We start from the raw sequence: 15,843 nt of genomic DNA, 5'->3' as shown, positions 1-15,843 counted from the left end.
ATGGAAACATAGGTGTCCTTATGTAAATTGCCTTTCCATTTTGCGTAATAGAAAGATTAGTTTTGATTTTTATGGGTAACATTTGAGCCTAGGTCAGTACTTTCTCAAAAAGTTCCACTATTGTAAGTATCTGCTTTAGTAAAGTTTCTTTTGGGTGTCTACAGATGGCTGTGCTCTGCCTTGAATTGCCCTCTTGACTTCCGATTTGGGAATTAAGATTTTGATAGAAACCTTATCTCACCTTTCTGTGTAGTTTGCTTCATTAGAGCTGATAAAGTAAGATCCACAGCAAATACAGAACACTGGAGATGTGACAGACAACCTTGTAAAACTCTTTTTTGGGACAAGTTAGGAGTTTGATTGACAGATTGTCCTGTAATTTTGTGAAGCAAAGAGAATTTTCTTATTAACCAATGAGTCTGATAGGCTCAAATGTGATGGGTTTAGTTTAGTTCTGCTTGTATTTGGATGACTTTTTTCTTTCTTTCTTTTTATGGAATGTAAGGCAAGCAGATATATCAGAGTTTGTCCTATATAGGAGCCGTGAAGCAAGTATTTTGGAAAATACTGTATTTGAAGCTCTAATTCAGATAAAGTTCTAAAGATTTAGGGAAAAAAAGAGACTCTTTATACTGAGTACTTCAGCAGACTGTTATGCTAAAACTATAGGCCTCACGAAAGAACCTATGGTTCCATTACTTAAGTAAGCATTCTGAGAAGGACAGACTGGTTAATGTAACAACCAAAAGGAATAAGAGACCCACACAAAACTAAGGTTGTCAGATTCATCTTGATAAAATGACCGTGTGGAAAGCTGTGGAAAAGATAATTTTGTAGTCTCAAAATATTAGCTCACTAATTATTAATTATGTAGGGCAAAGGTACCTTTACAATAGAGAAATCCAGCAGATAGCAGCTTAATCAGTTGATCAGATATCACCACCAATAATGCGGAAAATCGTTATTATGTGCCTTCATATGTGATCCTGTGATCCTGTGGGAAGTACAGCACCTCTTACAGTATTCTTGCCAAAAAATGTTTAATCTGAATTTAATCACAAGGAAGCAATCAGACAAATCAAGATTATGGATGTCCCACAAGACAACTGATACAGATTCTTCAAAATTGTCATTGTGATGAAACACAAGAGCAAAAATTAAAGGAGAATGACAATTAAATGCATTGCATGATCCCTTGTTGCATCTTGGATTGAAAGAAATCTGTTAAGAACATGATTGGGGGCCAGGCATGGTGGCTCATGCCTATAATCCCAGCACTTTGGGAGGTGGAAGCCAGAGGATTACTTGAGCTCAGGAGTTTGAGATCAGCCTGGGCACCGTAGGGAGACCCTATCTCTGCAAAAAGTAAAAAAGTTAGCCAAGTGTGGTGGCATGTGCCTGTGGTCCTAGCTACTGGGGTGGCTGAGGTGGGAGGATCACTTGGACCTGAGAGATTGAAGCTGCAGTATGATTGGGACAAGTAGAGATAGACTGTATCTGAGAAAAAAAAAGATTGTATCAAAGTTAAATTTCTTGGGTATGATAATGATAATGTGATTTAATAGGAGACTGTCCTAGTACTTAGGAGATGCATGCTGAATACTTAGGGGTAACATGTTATGATGTTTGAAATTTACTTTCAAATGGTTTTGCAAAGAAAAATGTATGATGAGAGAGAGCAATGAAGCAAATGTGGTGAAATGTTAGCAATTGATAAATCTGAGTGAAACATTCATGGGTGTACATTCTACTCTTTCTTTTTTTAGTATGTTTGAAAATTTTCTAACAAACATTAGGTTTTTAACCACATATAAGGTGGAAAGTTAAGGGGCCTAGAAACAGAAGTCTCTCAAGAATTCTCTGCTGTCAGCTTTTGCTCTCTTATGCATTGGATTTAGGAGCAGAAAAATAATCAAGGTAAAAAGGAATATTTTAAAAACATAAGCCATATGGGATGTAAGAAAACACAGAGAGAGAACATGGACTATCTTAAAGTTAGGGCTATTTTTTTCCGTTCACAGTAAATTAATGGATAATTAACTTAATAATGAGAAGAACTGAATATGACTTACTAAGAGTACCAAGATTGGTATGTAATGTAAGGTGGTTAAGATAGCAGAAGAGGCTTCATAATGCCCAACTGAAGCCACTGTACAGACTGTCCAAAGAGACTCATGTGTCAAGGGTAGTTAAAATAAAAGAAGCCAAGACTAGAGCCTAGCTCTCTCATGCTTAACACATGTGTAACACACTTCAAAGTGAGACTGAGGAAGCTTAAATGTGAGATCTACTTAGGGGATAATGAGAAATGAGAGTAATGAGAAACTGAGCAGTCAGAAACTATCTTTGAAGGAAAGAATTTGTAGCTAAGATATTCTTCAAATGACAGATAATTTCTCTAAATGTATGTAATGATAAATTGTAGTTTTGAAAATTAAATAAAAAATTAAAAGATTTTTCTCCTTACATAATTAAGGCTTTTTAAAAATTGAATGTTTACTTTGAAGGATACAAGAAAGATAAATCTGATATAGAGCCCACCCTCAAGGAATTTATATTGTTGAATTATAACATATATGTCTATAAATCATTGTCATCCTACAAGAGACACTGTGTACATTTCACAAAACAGTGGTGGAAAGAGAACAGGCTTTGGAGTCATATAATTAGAACCTGTCATTTGCCATGTGCTTTGTAACCTTGACAAAATAACTTGTCTTGCATTTATTGTTAGCAAAGCAAGGGGCCTCTGTTTTGCTTGAGTCATGAGGACTCATAATGTTTTACATAACACAGGACTGACATGTAGTTAACATTTAAGAGATTATAAACATGATAGTATTAGTGATATTGTTGTGACATACTTTTATATAGTTCAGCATTCTTTGTTTTTTCCAGAACCTGTAGCATGAACTGCCACTTAGTGGCAGCCATCAGAATTACATATGCTACTGTAGAGGATGAAATCACTTGGCCTGATGTGTCCTGTGAGACCACCCTGAGATATTAATCTGTAATCTTTGGATGTGGATATTCAATTTTTCAGAGTCTTCCTCACTATACTCTTAGGTTGGCACATTTTAGCATAGATTTTGTCACCTGTGTAATTCTATATAATTACGTTTTGCCTATTTTTGTTTCTTTATATAGATGTAATCATACTGTGTGTATTCCTCTATGACTTGCTTCTTTTGTTTGATAAAAGATAAACTGAGGCACATTAAAAACTTAGAGGGTTTATTTGGACAGACAGTGATTCATGAACCAGGCAGCTCCAGACCATAGATGGTTTGGGGCTCCGCTAAAGGGACACGAGGGGAAGATTTTTACAAGGCAAATGCAGAAGCAAGGCAAAAGAAATATTTGATTGGTTAAAGTGGAGCACTAGCCTTATTTGGATCATCTCAGTGGAAAGTGTCAGTGGAATATCAGGATTCCCTGGCACTTATTTTTTTCTTTGTTTAGCAGTTATGTACTCTTATTATCTGATATTTTAATGATTACACTCACTATTTTAATATACACATTTAACAAAATATATAGGTAATCAATATGTACTCTTTTGTCAGACTTACTTCTTTTCTCCCTTCCCTATCAGAAATAATTGTTTTATACAATCGATGTTTACAGCTACCCGTATATATACAAGTGTTTTTGCTTGCATCTCTGTCCTTCCATCTGAGATAATTTTCCTTCCTTCTCCATTGTGTTCTTTAGAATTTTCTTTAATGAGAGGCTTTTTTCAGTTTTTTTCCTTTGCCTATATTATTGTTTTTTATTGTTTGGGAAGATAGTTTGGCTGAATATTAAATTCTACATTATGAGTTTTTTTTTTCAGCTCATTGAGGATACGATTTTACTGTTTCCTGGTACTCTTTCTTGCTATTAAGAGGTTGTTATAAATCTAATTAACATTCTTTCATAGGTGATCAGCCTTTATTTTCTGGCAGGTTTTAATATCTCTTCTCTATCTTTGGTATCATGCAGATTTGTAATGAGACATTGAGATGTTTAATTTTTATTTATTATGCTTTTAATTGAGCTCCTTAAATTTGAGGATTGGTGTTCATCATTTGTCAACATTCTTAGCCAGTATCTCTGTAAATTTTTACTTTCTCATATGCTGATGTGTTCTTCTGGAATTCCAATTACATATGTGTTATTTCCCTCTACATATATTCTACTTAATATCTTGTAACCTATCCGTCATTTTATTTTTTTATTTCAGACAGGATCTCATTGTGTTGCCCAGGCTGGTCTAGAACTCCTGACCTCAAGCAATCCTCTCACCATCTCTGCCTCCCAAAGTGCTGGGACTACAGGCATGAGCCACCGTGCCTGGCCCATGTTTTACACTTTTGATGAAAGGTCATCCAAATTGTATTATGCCAATTTCATCTAAACACAGTAGTTTCCATTGACTGTAAGAGTGGGGAGAGAGGAGATAGCAAAGGAGAGACAGAGAAAGACGTTGTTGCCTCAACTTTTATTTTTTCTGCTTCGAGTTTATGCTGGATGTTGGGAAAACTCTGAGTTCTTGCTGCTTGCTATGTTCTGAATGTTGTTGTCCTGCCAAAAGTCACAAGTTGAAGTTGAATAACCACTGTAATAGTATTAAGAGGTAGAGACTTTTGGGAAGTGATTAAAGTGATGAGGGCAGAGTGCCCTTTTAAAAGAAGTTGAAGTGAATGCCCCTGTCCCCTTCCACCATGTGAGGATGCAACAGCAAGGCACCTTCTATGAAGCAGAGAGAGAACCTTCATCAGATGTTGAATCTGCTAGTTCCTTGATCTTGGACTTCTCAGCCTCCAGAACTGTGAGAAATAAGTTTCTATTTCTTTTGAATTACCCAGTCTAAGGTATTTTGCTATAACAGCAGGAACAGACTAAGACACTGCTCTTCTGGCTGTGCTAGATAAGGTTTCACGATCCCTTTTTGCTGAAACCTGTCTGGGGGGTCCCTAGCCTGTGATTTGAGTGTCCCCACCCCCAGGATACAGCTTCTCTGAATGTTTCTCTCCTCCTCTGTGTGGAGATAGTTTAGATAGTTTTTGACATGTGAGAAATGACTGACTCTCCAGGAGTCTTCTAGATCTTTGGGTGATGGCATAAGTTATATAGCTTTAGTCCTTAATGCTTAAAAGCCTGTTTGTTATAACTCAAAAGACTGGGTAGGGTTTATAAAACTCAAAGAAAGATTTGATTCTTATTTTCTCAGGATCACTTCTCTGAGGTTGTGAGGTAGACTTTCGTGGCCATTTTGACTGGGGGAAGAGGATATGGCATTCCAAGAACTGAGCTGGGAGTGTGAAACCCCTGTTAGTATATCCTGCTATAGTGATAGTGAAAGAGAAAGTACCACTAGAATTACCATGGAGCCCATGAATCAAATTAATCCTCGTTCGAATATGGGGATTTGTGCTTCATTTTTTTTTTTTGTACCAAAGTGGTGAAAATTAATATACATTCTAAGATCCTGGTTCAGTTTTGGTGATGAGTCTTTTTTTTTTTTTGAGACGAAGTCTTGCTATGTCGCCCAGGCTGGAGTGCAGTGGTGCCATCTCGGCTCACTGCAAGCTCTGCCTCTCGGATTCACGCCATTCTCCTGCATCAGCCTCCCGAGTAGCTGGGACTGCAGGTGCCCGCTATCACGCCCAGCTAATTTTTTTGTATTTTTAGTAGAGATTTTTAGTAGAGACAGGATTTCACTGTGTTAGCCAGGATGGTTTCGATCTCCTGACCTCGTGATCCGCCCGCCTCGGCCTCCCAAAGTGCTGGGATTAAAGGCGTGAGCCACTGCACCCGGCCTGATGAGTCTTAATATCTTATGATCACTGCCGTCTTGTGCATTTCTCTCTCAGTGTCGGTACTGATTATCTCTACATTGTAATGAATTATTATTATTATTATTATTATTATTATTGTTTAGGCAACCGAAAATTTAGTGCTATATTTTGTAAGAAAAATGGTTCCTTTGCTGCCCTTTAAAAATGTCCTTTGGGAACTGACCTAGCCACTTAAAGTTCTGATTTCAAATAACTCTTCAAAACTGACCTCACTGTTGTTTAGAATAATTCTCACTATCTGATAAGTCATTTTCTTTATTTGTAGAACTGGGACTAAAAATGTAACCTGTTTCATATCCCTGACTTCCCCATAGTAAACATTGTAAGACACTTCTTAACATTTCTGCGTTAGTAAATGAAAGTAAGTGGGAGAAGGAAGGAAATTGGCTAGTTAGTATTGCTTAATGAGGGAAATTATTAAGTAAGCTGGTTTAGTGGGGAGATAAAATGGAAGATGTCTTTACCTATCTGGTGTTGGATTTTATGAACTTTAGAGTTCTGTCTGATTCTAGCAGTTCTGAGAGAGAAGAAATCTGTGATGCTCTTGTGTTCAGGGAATACAGTTCTGCTTGTTACCATGTGATCTCTACTCATTTACTTTTATTAAGTTCATTGTTTTATTTCTGATGTATTTTTCCTACAAGTACTTCCTTACTTGTAATGACAGAAGTAGAAAATTATCTGACCAGTAAACTTCATGTATGCTTTTTTAATCTAAATTATATTCCTCAATCCATCATTGGCAAGTGTTATAAACTAGAGTATATCAAAGTATATGGAAAATTTGATCCTAATTTACTATTATCTTAAAAATTTTTGTGAAACTGATAGTGAAGCAACTGCTTTCTCTACTTAATGCCATTTTTTCTTGGTTCTAGCAGGTTTTGATTGAAAATGCATAATCCTAAAACAATGTGTTTAAAATGTTATTATGCTTCTCTATCACATTTGCATTTTTAAATATAGAAAAGTTAGCAAAATTATCAGTCTGTAAGTCTAACTAAATTACTTGAATATTAAACGTGTTTATTTTCAATTTATATGGAGATTCAGAGTCATGAGCTCTATTTTACTGGTTCCTCCAGGTAAAATAGGCCAACTAAAAGATTTTGTCAGTTTCATTCCTATTATGATTTAATTTAGTTGGAGAATTTCAGTAGATTATATGTGTTAAAGAAGTTTCTGATAAGAAAAAGTATGCAAAATCTATTAGACATACTGTATGAGGAATGTTTATGAAATAGTTTAAAATATCGACAGTAGAGAATTACTAGGTACAGTTTTTTGCCTACAGCAGTTGACTATCAAATGATTACAAATGTTGGAACACGTGGTATATCTTTGAAAGAAAAATCTGCAGAAGTCGGTTTCTACCCTTGGCAAGTAGCCAAATCCATGTATTATGGCATTTTAATATAATTTTGTTTTTATATCAGATTTTTAAATATTTTTAGCTGTGGGAAATTGCTTTCTCCAGTTGACACATGATTAAATGAGGGCTTTTTCATGTTAGAAATAATTCCAGTGTATTTATTTTGGTCCATGAGAATACCTAAATTCGGCCCAAATAATTTACCGTTTATCATATCATTTTGGGTTCATATAGAATTGGTTTTTTCAGCAACTTTTAAGAATCACTTTCCCTAATAGCATGAGTATTAACTCCTTGAGAGCATTAGAATGTGACCTGGAAGGAAACAGTCTTCTCCTTGGTTTGAGAAATGGTTCAAATAGAAAACCTCTTTTTAAGTTAAGATTCTTTTTAAGTTGGTCTAAGTGTGTTAGAAATACCAAAGAATTATGGAACCAAAGTTTCCAGGGATATCACCCTTCCTTTGTTCTGCCATCATCATATAAATGTGAGTTGCTATTGTATTTTTTAAAAGCTGCAGATAAGGAGATGCTATGATAGCTCTCTATAATTTTTCAGTTATAAGTTTTTTCCATTAGGTTAAGTTTTTTGAGTTTTGTTTTGTTTTTTAAATCAAAATCTCTACCAGCTTACTGGGACATAGACTAAGAAATTAAAGAATGTGAGTTGTGTTTTCCTTGCCAAAATGGAGTCTTTTCTCAAATTTACATGGAGCCAAATTGCAGACACATCCACAGACAGGATGAGTATCAGTCTAAGAATGCAGTCTTGGGTCCTTTTTTTTTTTTTTTTTTTTTTTTCCCATGAAAACAAGCAAGTTCACAAGTATGAAGAATATAGAAGCACCTTTACCTCAGCTAAGGGGCTCAAGGAAGGTTTATTGGATGTGACTTTCTTGGAGCTATCTGGGCTTCAAAATATACTTAAATATTCATATGCATAAAAGAAGGTGGGGGAATTTTAGCTGCAGATGTTGGTAAAGCAGAAGAGAGAAGAGAGCAAGGTAGAATCAGAAGACTGAGTGTTCCATTGTGACCAAACATCTGTTGTAGAAAATCTGGTCATGAAGAGATACCTTGGGTTACACTTCATGTTCTTTATAAAATACTACAGCAGATGAATAAATACATTAATAGCATGTTATTTGTATATGTGTGTGTGTGTGTGTGTGTGTGTGTGAGAATGCTGTTCTTCTGGTAAAACTTGTTAATTGTCTATGTTCATTTATTGAAGAATGTGTTTAGTATCTGAATAATTTTGCATGGTGGGATCTGTAATGTTATATTTTCTCCTTTAAGCATTGAAATTCATCATGTAAGGCAGTGGTCCCCAACCTTTTTGGCACCAGGGACTGGTTTTGTGGAAGACAGTTCTTCCGTGGACTCGGGGTCGGGGAGCGGTTGGTTTCAGAATGGAACCGTTTCACCTTAGATCATCAGGTGTTAAGTTCTTATAAGGGGCATGCAACCTAGATCCCTCACTTGAGCAGTTCATAACAGGGTTCATGCTCCTGTGAGAATCTTTTATTATTATTATTATTATTATTATACTTTATGTTCTGGGGTACATGTGCAGAACGTGCAGGTTTGTTACATAGGTATAAACATGCCATGGTGGTTTGCTGCACCCATCAACCCGTCATCTACATTAGGTATTCATCCTAATGCTATCCGTCCACTGTAAGAATCTTATGCCCCTGCTGCTGCTGCTGATCTGACGGGAGGCTTAGCTCAGGTCATAATACTTGGTTGCCCACTGCTTACCTCCTGCTGAGTAGCCTGGTTCCTAATATGTTGGGGACTCCTTGTGTAAGGACTTTTTTACAGTTTAAAAGAAATCTGTCTAACTTCTCATCAACATTTCTTCCCCTACGGTTTTCCTTATTCCCAATTGGTTTTCAAATGCAATGATAAGTATTACTAATTAATATTATTTATGTAGGCTCTAGGCGAAAAAATCAGTTAGCAAATTGATATTTGTTTATAAACAACATTTTTGGGCAGAGGTGCTCTTGTGAATGCCAGAGCACTGCTGCTTTGAGTTGATTTAAGAAAATAAATAGTAAGGAGCATCTAGAAATTCAAGTCCAACTGATTTACCATTTACTCTATTATTTTGGGTCTGTACAGATTTAGCTCATTAAACACCTTTTAAGAATCTCTTTTTGCTAAAAGTAGATGGAGAAAAAAGTACCAAAACAGTCTTTGAAAAAAATTACTATTTGCAAAAAAGATTACAGAAGAAGCAAAACACTGAATTCAAAATAATTATAATTTGAGTGGAGCCTCTTATAGTTTCTGAAGTACCAGTGCAAAATGATAGGAATAGAGAGAGAATATTTTAAGTGTAGACAAATTAATGCCAATCAAAGTGAGTTAGAATGTGTTTGTGTTTTTTGTTTATATATGCTTATCTTCTTATTCTGCTAGTATGTGAAAACATATGCTTTTAAGTGCCAGGGATTTAAAGATAAATGTAACAACCTCCATTCTGAAGGAGCTGACATTCTAGTAGGAGAAACACATTTTTAAACCAATAATTAAAACACAGAGAGTGAGTCAAACGTATTGAGCTCTGCTGGAAGTATATCAGAGAGCAAGTCAATCAACTCAACTTGGGGTGGGAGTAGTGAGGTCAGAAATGATTCACAGAGGTGTGAGGTTTACACTGAAGCTTGAAGGATAAGGGGGACTTTCCCATGTGGACACTGGAGGAGAGCAGTGCAGGCCTGGGGCACAGAACAACGTATAGTCTGATTGCTAGAATCTGACAGGAGGATGAGTGTTAGAAAGTGACTGAAGCAAACAGGTTCAGGTGGGTCTTACAGAGATTAGGATGCCATCTTGAGGTGTTTGAAAATTTCTCCAGAGGCTCCGCATTGCCTTCAGATTAATTAGGCAAGTAACCTGCCCAGATCTGTTTTTAGAAATAGAACTCCTGTAGATGTGTAGAAGAGTGATGGGAAAGAGAAAGGACTGATGTCCTTCTTTTCATTGAAAAAGATATTGTTTAGGTCCTACAATGGCTTAGGTATGGTTTGAGACTCTGGGGTTACAAAGCAAAGAAAACCTGGCCTCTGCCCTGCTCAGAGAACAGCAGGGATAGCATGTTAGCAAATAAGTATATAGTGTGGAAAGGTCTGTAGTCAATAGCAGTCATTTTGACAATAGGAAAAGGAATGTGTGAAACTTCTGGGTCTGTGTGTGTGTTGGGGTTGGTGGGTCAAGGGAGGGGATCCAAAGATGGTTTCACTAAGAAGGGAAAAACACCGGACCTGAGACTTGAATGCAAGTAGAATTTTGCCAGGCAGATGATCTGTTCTTCCAGGTAGATAATCCATCCTGGGCAGACAAAACCAGGCTGTAGAAGGAACACCATGTGTGGAGCAATAGAAATATCTCATTGTTACTGGAGTATAATGCATGCAAGAAGCAGGCAAGGTAGACAGGGGCCACCGTGAAGGAAACTCTGAATAGGGGAATGATATCATCACATTTCCATGTTAGGACAAATAGGAGAAGTTTAATATCAAGATGTAAGAAAGTTAATGGAGGGAGACAATTCAGGTGTTCCAGCCAAGGGATGACAATACCTAGTTTGAAGGCAGGGATAGGGAGAAAGTATTAAGGGAAAATAATTCAAAATTAGAAGGAGATAGAATTAATGATTTGATGTGGGGAGTAAAAAAAAAAAAGAATGGCTGAAGTTTCTTGTTTGTGTAATTGGGTGGTACCATTCAATGAATAAGCAATCATCTCGAATTTTGGGGGATATCCTTGAGTTTATATCTACCTTGCTATTGAATGTACGGAGTAGAACCTGGGAGAGAAATCTGAGCCAGGCATTCAGGATATGTCAATCTATAGGTGACTGTTACAGCCTTGGGTGTGGATATATTCTCAGGATTGCTATGGCATGAGGGCCCACATGTAACCCCAATAAATGTCATTTGTAAGCGGTAGGCAGAGGAAGCAGAAACCCTAGAGAAAATGAAGAGGATGAATCATTTGAAAAATAGGCAAAGTTGTCACCTGAGGCCAAAGGAAGAGAAAATTTCAAGCAAGAGCTTGCCAGGTCCTTCAGAGAGTTGTGAAGGTTAAGGACTATGGGAAGCAGTTTGCATTTAGCATTAGGAGGATCTTGCAAAAGAAGACTCTTTTCTTAGCAAAAGACATGGTGGGTTGCCAGGCGCAGTGGCTCACACCTGTAATCCCACATTTTGAGAGGCCGAGGCAGGTGGGTCACTTGACCCCAGGAGTTGGAGGCCAGCCTGGGCAACATAGTGAGACCCCATCTGTACAGAAAACAGAAAAATTAGCTTGATGTGGTGACATGTGCCTATAGTCCCAACTACTTGGCAGGATGAGGCAGGAGGATTGCTTGAGCCCAGGAGGCAGAGGTTGCAGTGAGCTGAGATGACTCTACTGCACTGCAGCCTGGGTGACAGAGTACCCTGTCTCAAACAAACAAACAAAAAATGATAGGGTGGGGGACTAAACCCAGATTATAATACACTGAGGAGTTTCACTTTGTTTAGTCTTTCAAAGTGGGAGAAACTTAAACGTGTTTAGGGGCTGAGCCAAAGGAGATAAGAGAGAGATGTAAGTGAGAGGAAGGAGAAATTCATGGAAGAAGTTCAGGAAGAATTCAGAAGGCATGCAAATTGCACACTGAATCACTAGTAAGTAAGTAGTTAAGAATAAGGTAATATCAGAAGGAATTAACCTGAAGGAGGCGGGGAGTAGATGCCTTCTAGCTCTAAGAAAGAAGATGGATGGTGATTAAACATTTCCAAGAGTTTGTGGAGTGTTAGAAGCTGAGAGAATGCAGGCTTGAGATCCTCTCATTATTCTTTGAAGCCAATCAAATTGTGAGATAAAAACCTGAGCCAGAGAAGCAATTGGGTAGGGCCCTTGGGACAGGAGCTAAAATTTGGAAGAGCTGCTATTAGAAGTGGCAGAGGGAGCTGACGAGCAGAATGTAGAATTGCTGAGTGGTTTTGAGAGCTTGGAAACTATAAATTTGTAGTGGCATCGGTCCACATGATTGTTGTATTTCCTCCAGCAGAAGTCAGCAGTCCACTTATGAGAACTCAAAAAATGCTGATTGAAACTGAAACTGGAGGTGCTGTGAATCCAAGATGGTATAAGACACCTATCAAATTTCATAAATTCAGATTTGTATATGACAATAGACTGAATTATTTTGTGATTTCTAAAATTAGCGAATGCTGTATCTCAGGTGCTAAATGGACACAACTTGTTTTCTATGTAATGTTTCCTATCCAGGAATATCCTCCGTTACTTAAACACTGTAATCACTACCTCCATGCCTTGCCCTTTCCCCAGTGGTCCCCCTTTCCCCTATGGTGAGCGTGCAAACACACACATACTAAATATGGCATGATCTTAATTCTTCCAGTGCCTACTTTGTGCATAAATATTCTTATTTCAGTTAGATCATTTCATCTGAGTATTAAAGATTTCTCAGTTGGCCACATATGAATACAAGATTACTCCTGATAAATGATTATCTTGCAGGGAGATGAATGCTCATTCTCAATGAGTTACTAAATCTGAGGCAATTCTTACCCAAGTTTAGTTCTTATGTGGCTCTCTCCGTAAAATTTGTCACAAGCTTTTATTTTCCCTCTTAGATAGGCAACTTGATCTCCTCTTTATGCCTCTTTTTCATATTTTGTCCATATTGCACTTACCACAGAATTTCATGGTTCTTTTTATACAATTTTGGATTCCATGAGAGTGGGGACTGAGTCTTACTCATCTTTGTATTTCCAATGTCTCCCTGTTGCCTAGTGCCAATTGCACACTAAATCAGTAGTAAGTAAATGTTAACTTCATGAATGATGCATTACTTCTTCAAAATAAAGGCTATGTGTAAGTGAGGGGAAAAATTAAACTTTCTTTATGACTACCTGTAATTTATCTTTGTCCCCTCTTCCCACCGGCAATATCTTCTGGTTTACCTTTTTAACCTTTGACCAATTGAAGAGGAGATGTTTATCTCTTGAATAATATCAGGCCCAATTGTACTAGGCATTGGAATAGGAAAGAAAAAAACGTATGATATCTACACACAATCCAAAAGCCCACACAAAATCTTTTACCAACGTTATTGATAAGCAAAAAGAGAGAGAGTTTTAAATTCTCCATGCTTAAATTCTATGGATAATGCAAATTTAGAGTGAAGCCAATGAAAAATTGGCCAGATGTGTGAGAGAAGGAGAAAATGGGGAGAAGTAAAGAGTTTCTATAAATATTAGTAATCTTGACATTTGTAGTCTGAAATGTATTTTCTTGGTTGACCTTGTTTTACTTTTGTTTGTAAGATATCTCCAATTAGCTAGGGTATGTTTTAAAAATAACTTTAGACAAATTACTGAATAACACATTATCCTACCAACAATCTTGTCCTTTTGATTTAGAATCTTTAAGTTATCTTTGCATTTATAAAGTCCTGGTCCTGAGAACTTTCTTAGGAAGTTACAAAAATAGACAAAAAATTCTAGAAAACTAAAACAAGGTAACTTAAAATCCAAGTAGTATACAGCTACAAATAGTTTTAATAGCTCTTGAGTATTTATCTTGGAAGTGTTGTGCCCAGATTATCGATAGTCTAGGCATAGATAATGTATTTCTTAGCAACTCATCCAGTTCGTACTGGACCTAAAATTACATGTAATGCTTCTCTTTATCCCAACATTTGAGGTTTCATTTTGTTCAAGAAACATTGTATGAAATAAATGTGTAGGTGGTCCTGTTAGATCATTTATTTTGAGGAAGAAGGGTGCTACTAAGATACCTGTCCAGGAGTATCTTATCAAATTGATTTCATGACTTTCTCTTGAAATATATAATTCACAAGTACAGTACATTTTCTGAAGCAGGTAATTGCTGGACACTGATAAGCTCCAGAATAATGAAATAATCTCATCAGTGTGCAGTTATCATCTATGGCAGCTTTTCCAAAAGTGGCATGCCACTTTATTCTCATGCATGATTACTAATAGGTGATCATGCCAACATTCAAAAACACAGTGTTTTTGGCTGATGTATCTGATTCTGTGAAGGTGGGTGTTGGGGAGATAAGGAGCAACATGCCATGACGTAGAGGCAGAGATCAGGGAGGAGGCTCTTCCAAATAACGTATGAGAGAAAGCAGTGGCTGATCCTCTTACCTCCTCCTACAAAAAATACAGCCTTGGCTTGCCAGCACCTGCTATGTATTATGTGCAAATAACCAATTTCCATAGAGTCAGAATGAAATAATGTATACTTACAAGAGATTACACTGAATGTAATTATCCTTCTTAAAAATGCCAAAGACATTTCAAGATTTTTCCATGTTTTGTGATTAACATTATGATTATCATCTTAAAAGAGACATATTTAGTTCATAGAGAATTAAGTTATGGCAACTTTGATAATACTATAAGTTAATATAGCATTTCTGATAAGTCTAATTTTTAAATGTTATTACCCTTTGAAAGATTGGATGATGTTATCTAATCATCAAAATGAGTTTCTTGGAATTTGAAATTAATGTTACCTTTTCTTTAAATATACAATTTTAAGTTATAGTTTTGAAGTAATTAATAAGTTAAAATCTGGTTTCAAAATAACATCAATAATATTCTGGATTCATCAAATCTTCCTTTTTTCTATCTTAAGAAAATGTGGAATGATCAAAGCAATTTTTCATACTAACAGAAATACGAGGTTTCCTGTCGAGTTTAGACCACATTCCTTATAATAGCCACTCACAGAAATTTCTGGGATTACCAAGCTCTCTAAGTTTTTGCAGTTGGGCTTTATCCACAGTGCAAATTTAATATAATTATGAACTTTTTTCTGAAGAATCAGTTTTATGTATTAGTATGTATCTTTTTTGGTGTAAGGAGGGTCCCACTAAGTACCACACTGTGTGTTTGTATGGATTGGCTGCAGAAGCTATTCAGCTATTTCTTTGACTGTAGTCCTTTGCTTCATATTGCTTGACTGAGCAAGAAAAACTAGTTCTTACATCCACAACCCACTTTGGAGCAAGAAAAATCATTGTTTAAACTTGGTGTTGTAGCGTACCCAGAAATGTATTACAGAAACTTGCTATCATTGTGACTTGTTGGTTTTGGATCTTTTATTTGAATACCTAATTTTTTCACATTTACCAAGCTAAAGTATGTTTGCCATTTTCCTTTTTTGTGAGAATAAAGGAAAGTTTTTCAGGATAAATGAGTGATTCAAGGAACATTAACCAGTAGTAATTTGAATTACTTAAAGAGTTAGGCTCATAAATACAAAAAGAAGGTTTAAGGTCTTCCCATCTCCAAATCTAAAAGATTTGACCTATCTGCATATTTTTCTTTTACATATAAACAGCATACTTATATACATATTCATATTTTCAGATGACAAAAAATGTTTTCTTCAAAAGTCATCTTATGTTGTTTCTCCCCCAAAATAATTCAACTTTTTTCCTCCTATTTTGAAACAGCAACCATTGTTGCTCATTCATTGATGATTGAAATACCCCTTATACTTGCCATGGCCCATAAAAAACTATGTTGGAGGCCTTGACGTCTGGATAGTGTGAGGAAGAGATGAA

At 36.5% G+C, this 15,843-nt stretch overlaps 1 protein-coding gene across 5 annotated transcripts in view, besides 1 other annotated feature; it reads left to right on the top strand.

Moving 5' to 3' along the window:
- FBXL17 (F-box and leucine rich repeat protein 17) overlaps positions 1-15,843 on the top strand; it is a 523,064-nt gene that overhangs the window by 230,354 nt on the left and 276,867 nt on the right. The window lies entirely within an intron of this gene.
- Positions 2,583-2,877: a silencer, noted in NCBI's record as "tiled region #7585; HepG2 Repressive non-DNase unmatched - State 13:Ctcf". NCBI's record gives its function as "represses a minimal TATA promoter and a strong SV40 promoter by Sharpr-MPRA in HepG2 cells {active_cell/tissue: HepG2}" and the evidence as "EXISTENCE:reporter gene assay evidence [ECO:0000049][PMID:27701403]".

The sequence above is a fragment of the Homo sapiens genome, chromosome 5 (assembly GCF_000001405.40).
Source record: "Homo sapiens chromosome 5, GRCh38.p14 Primary Assembly".
Classification (NCBI taxonomy): Eukaryota; Metazoa; Chordata; class Mammalia; order Primates; family Hominidae; genus Homo; species Homo sapiens.
The sequence above is the reverse complement of the archived record's forward strand: the minus strand, read 5'-3'. Positions and strand labels throughout refer to the sequence as shown.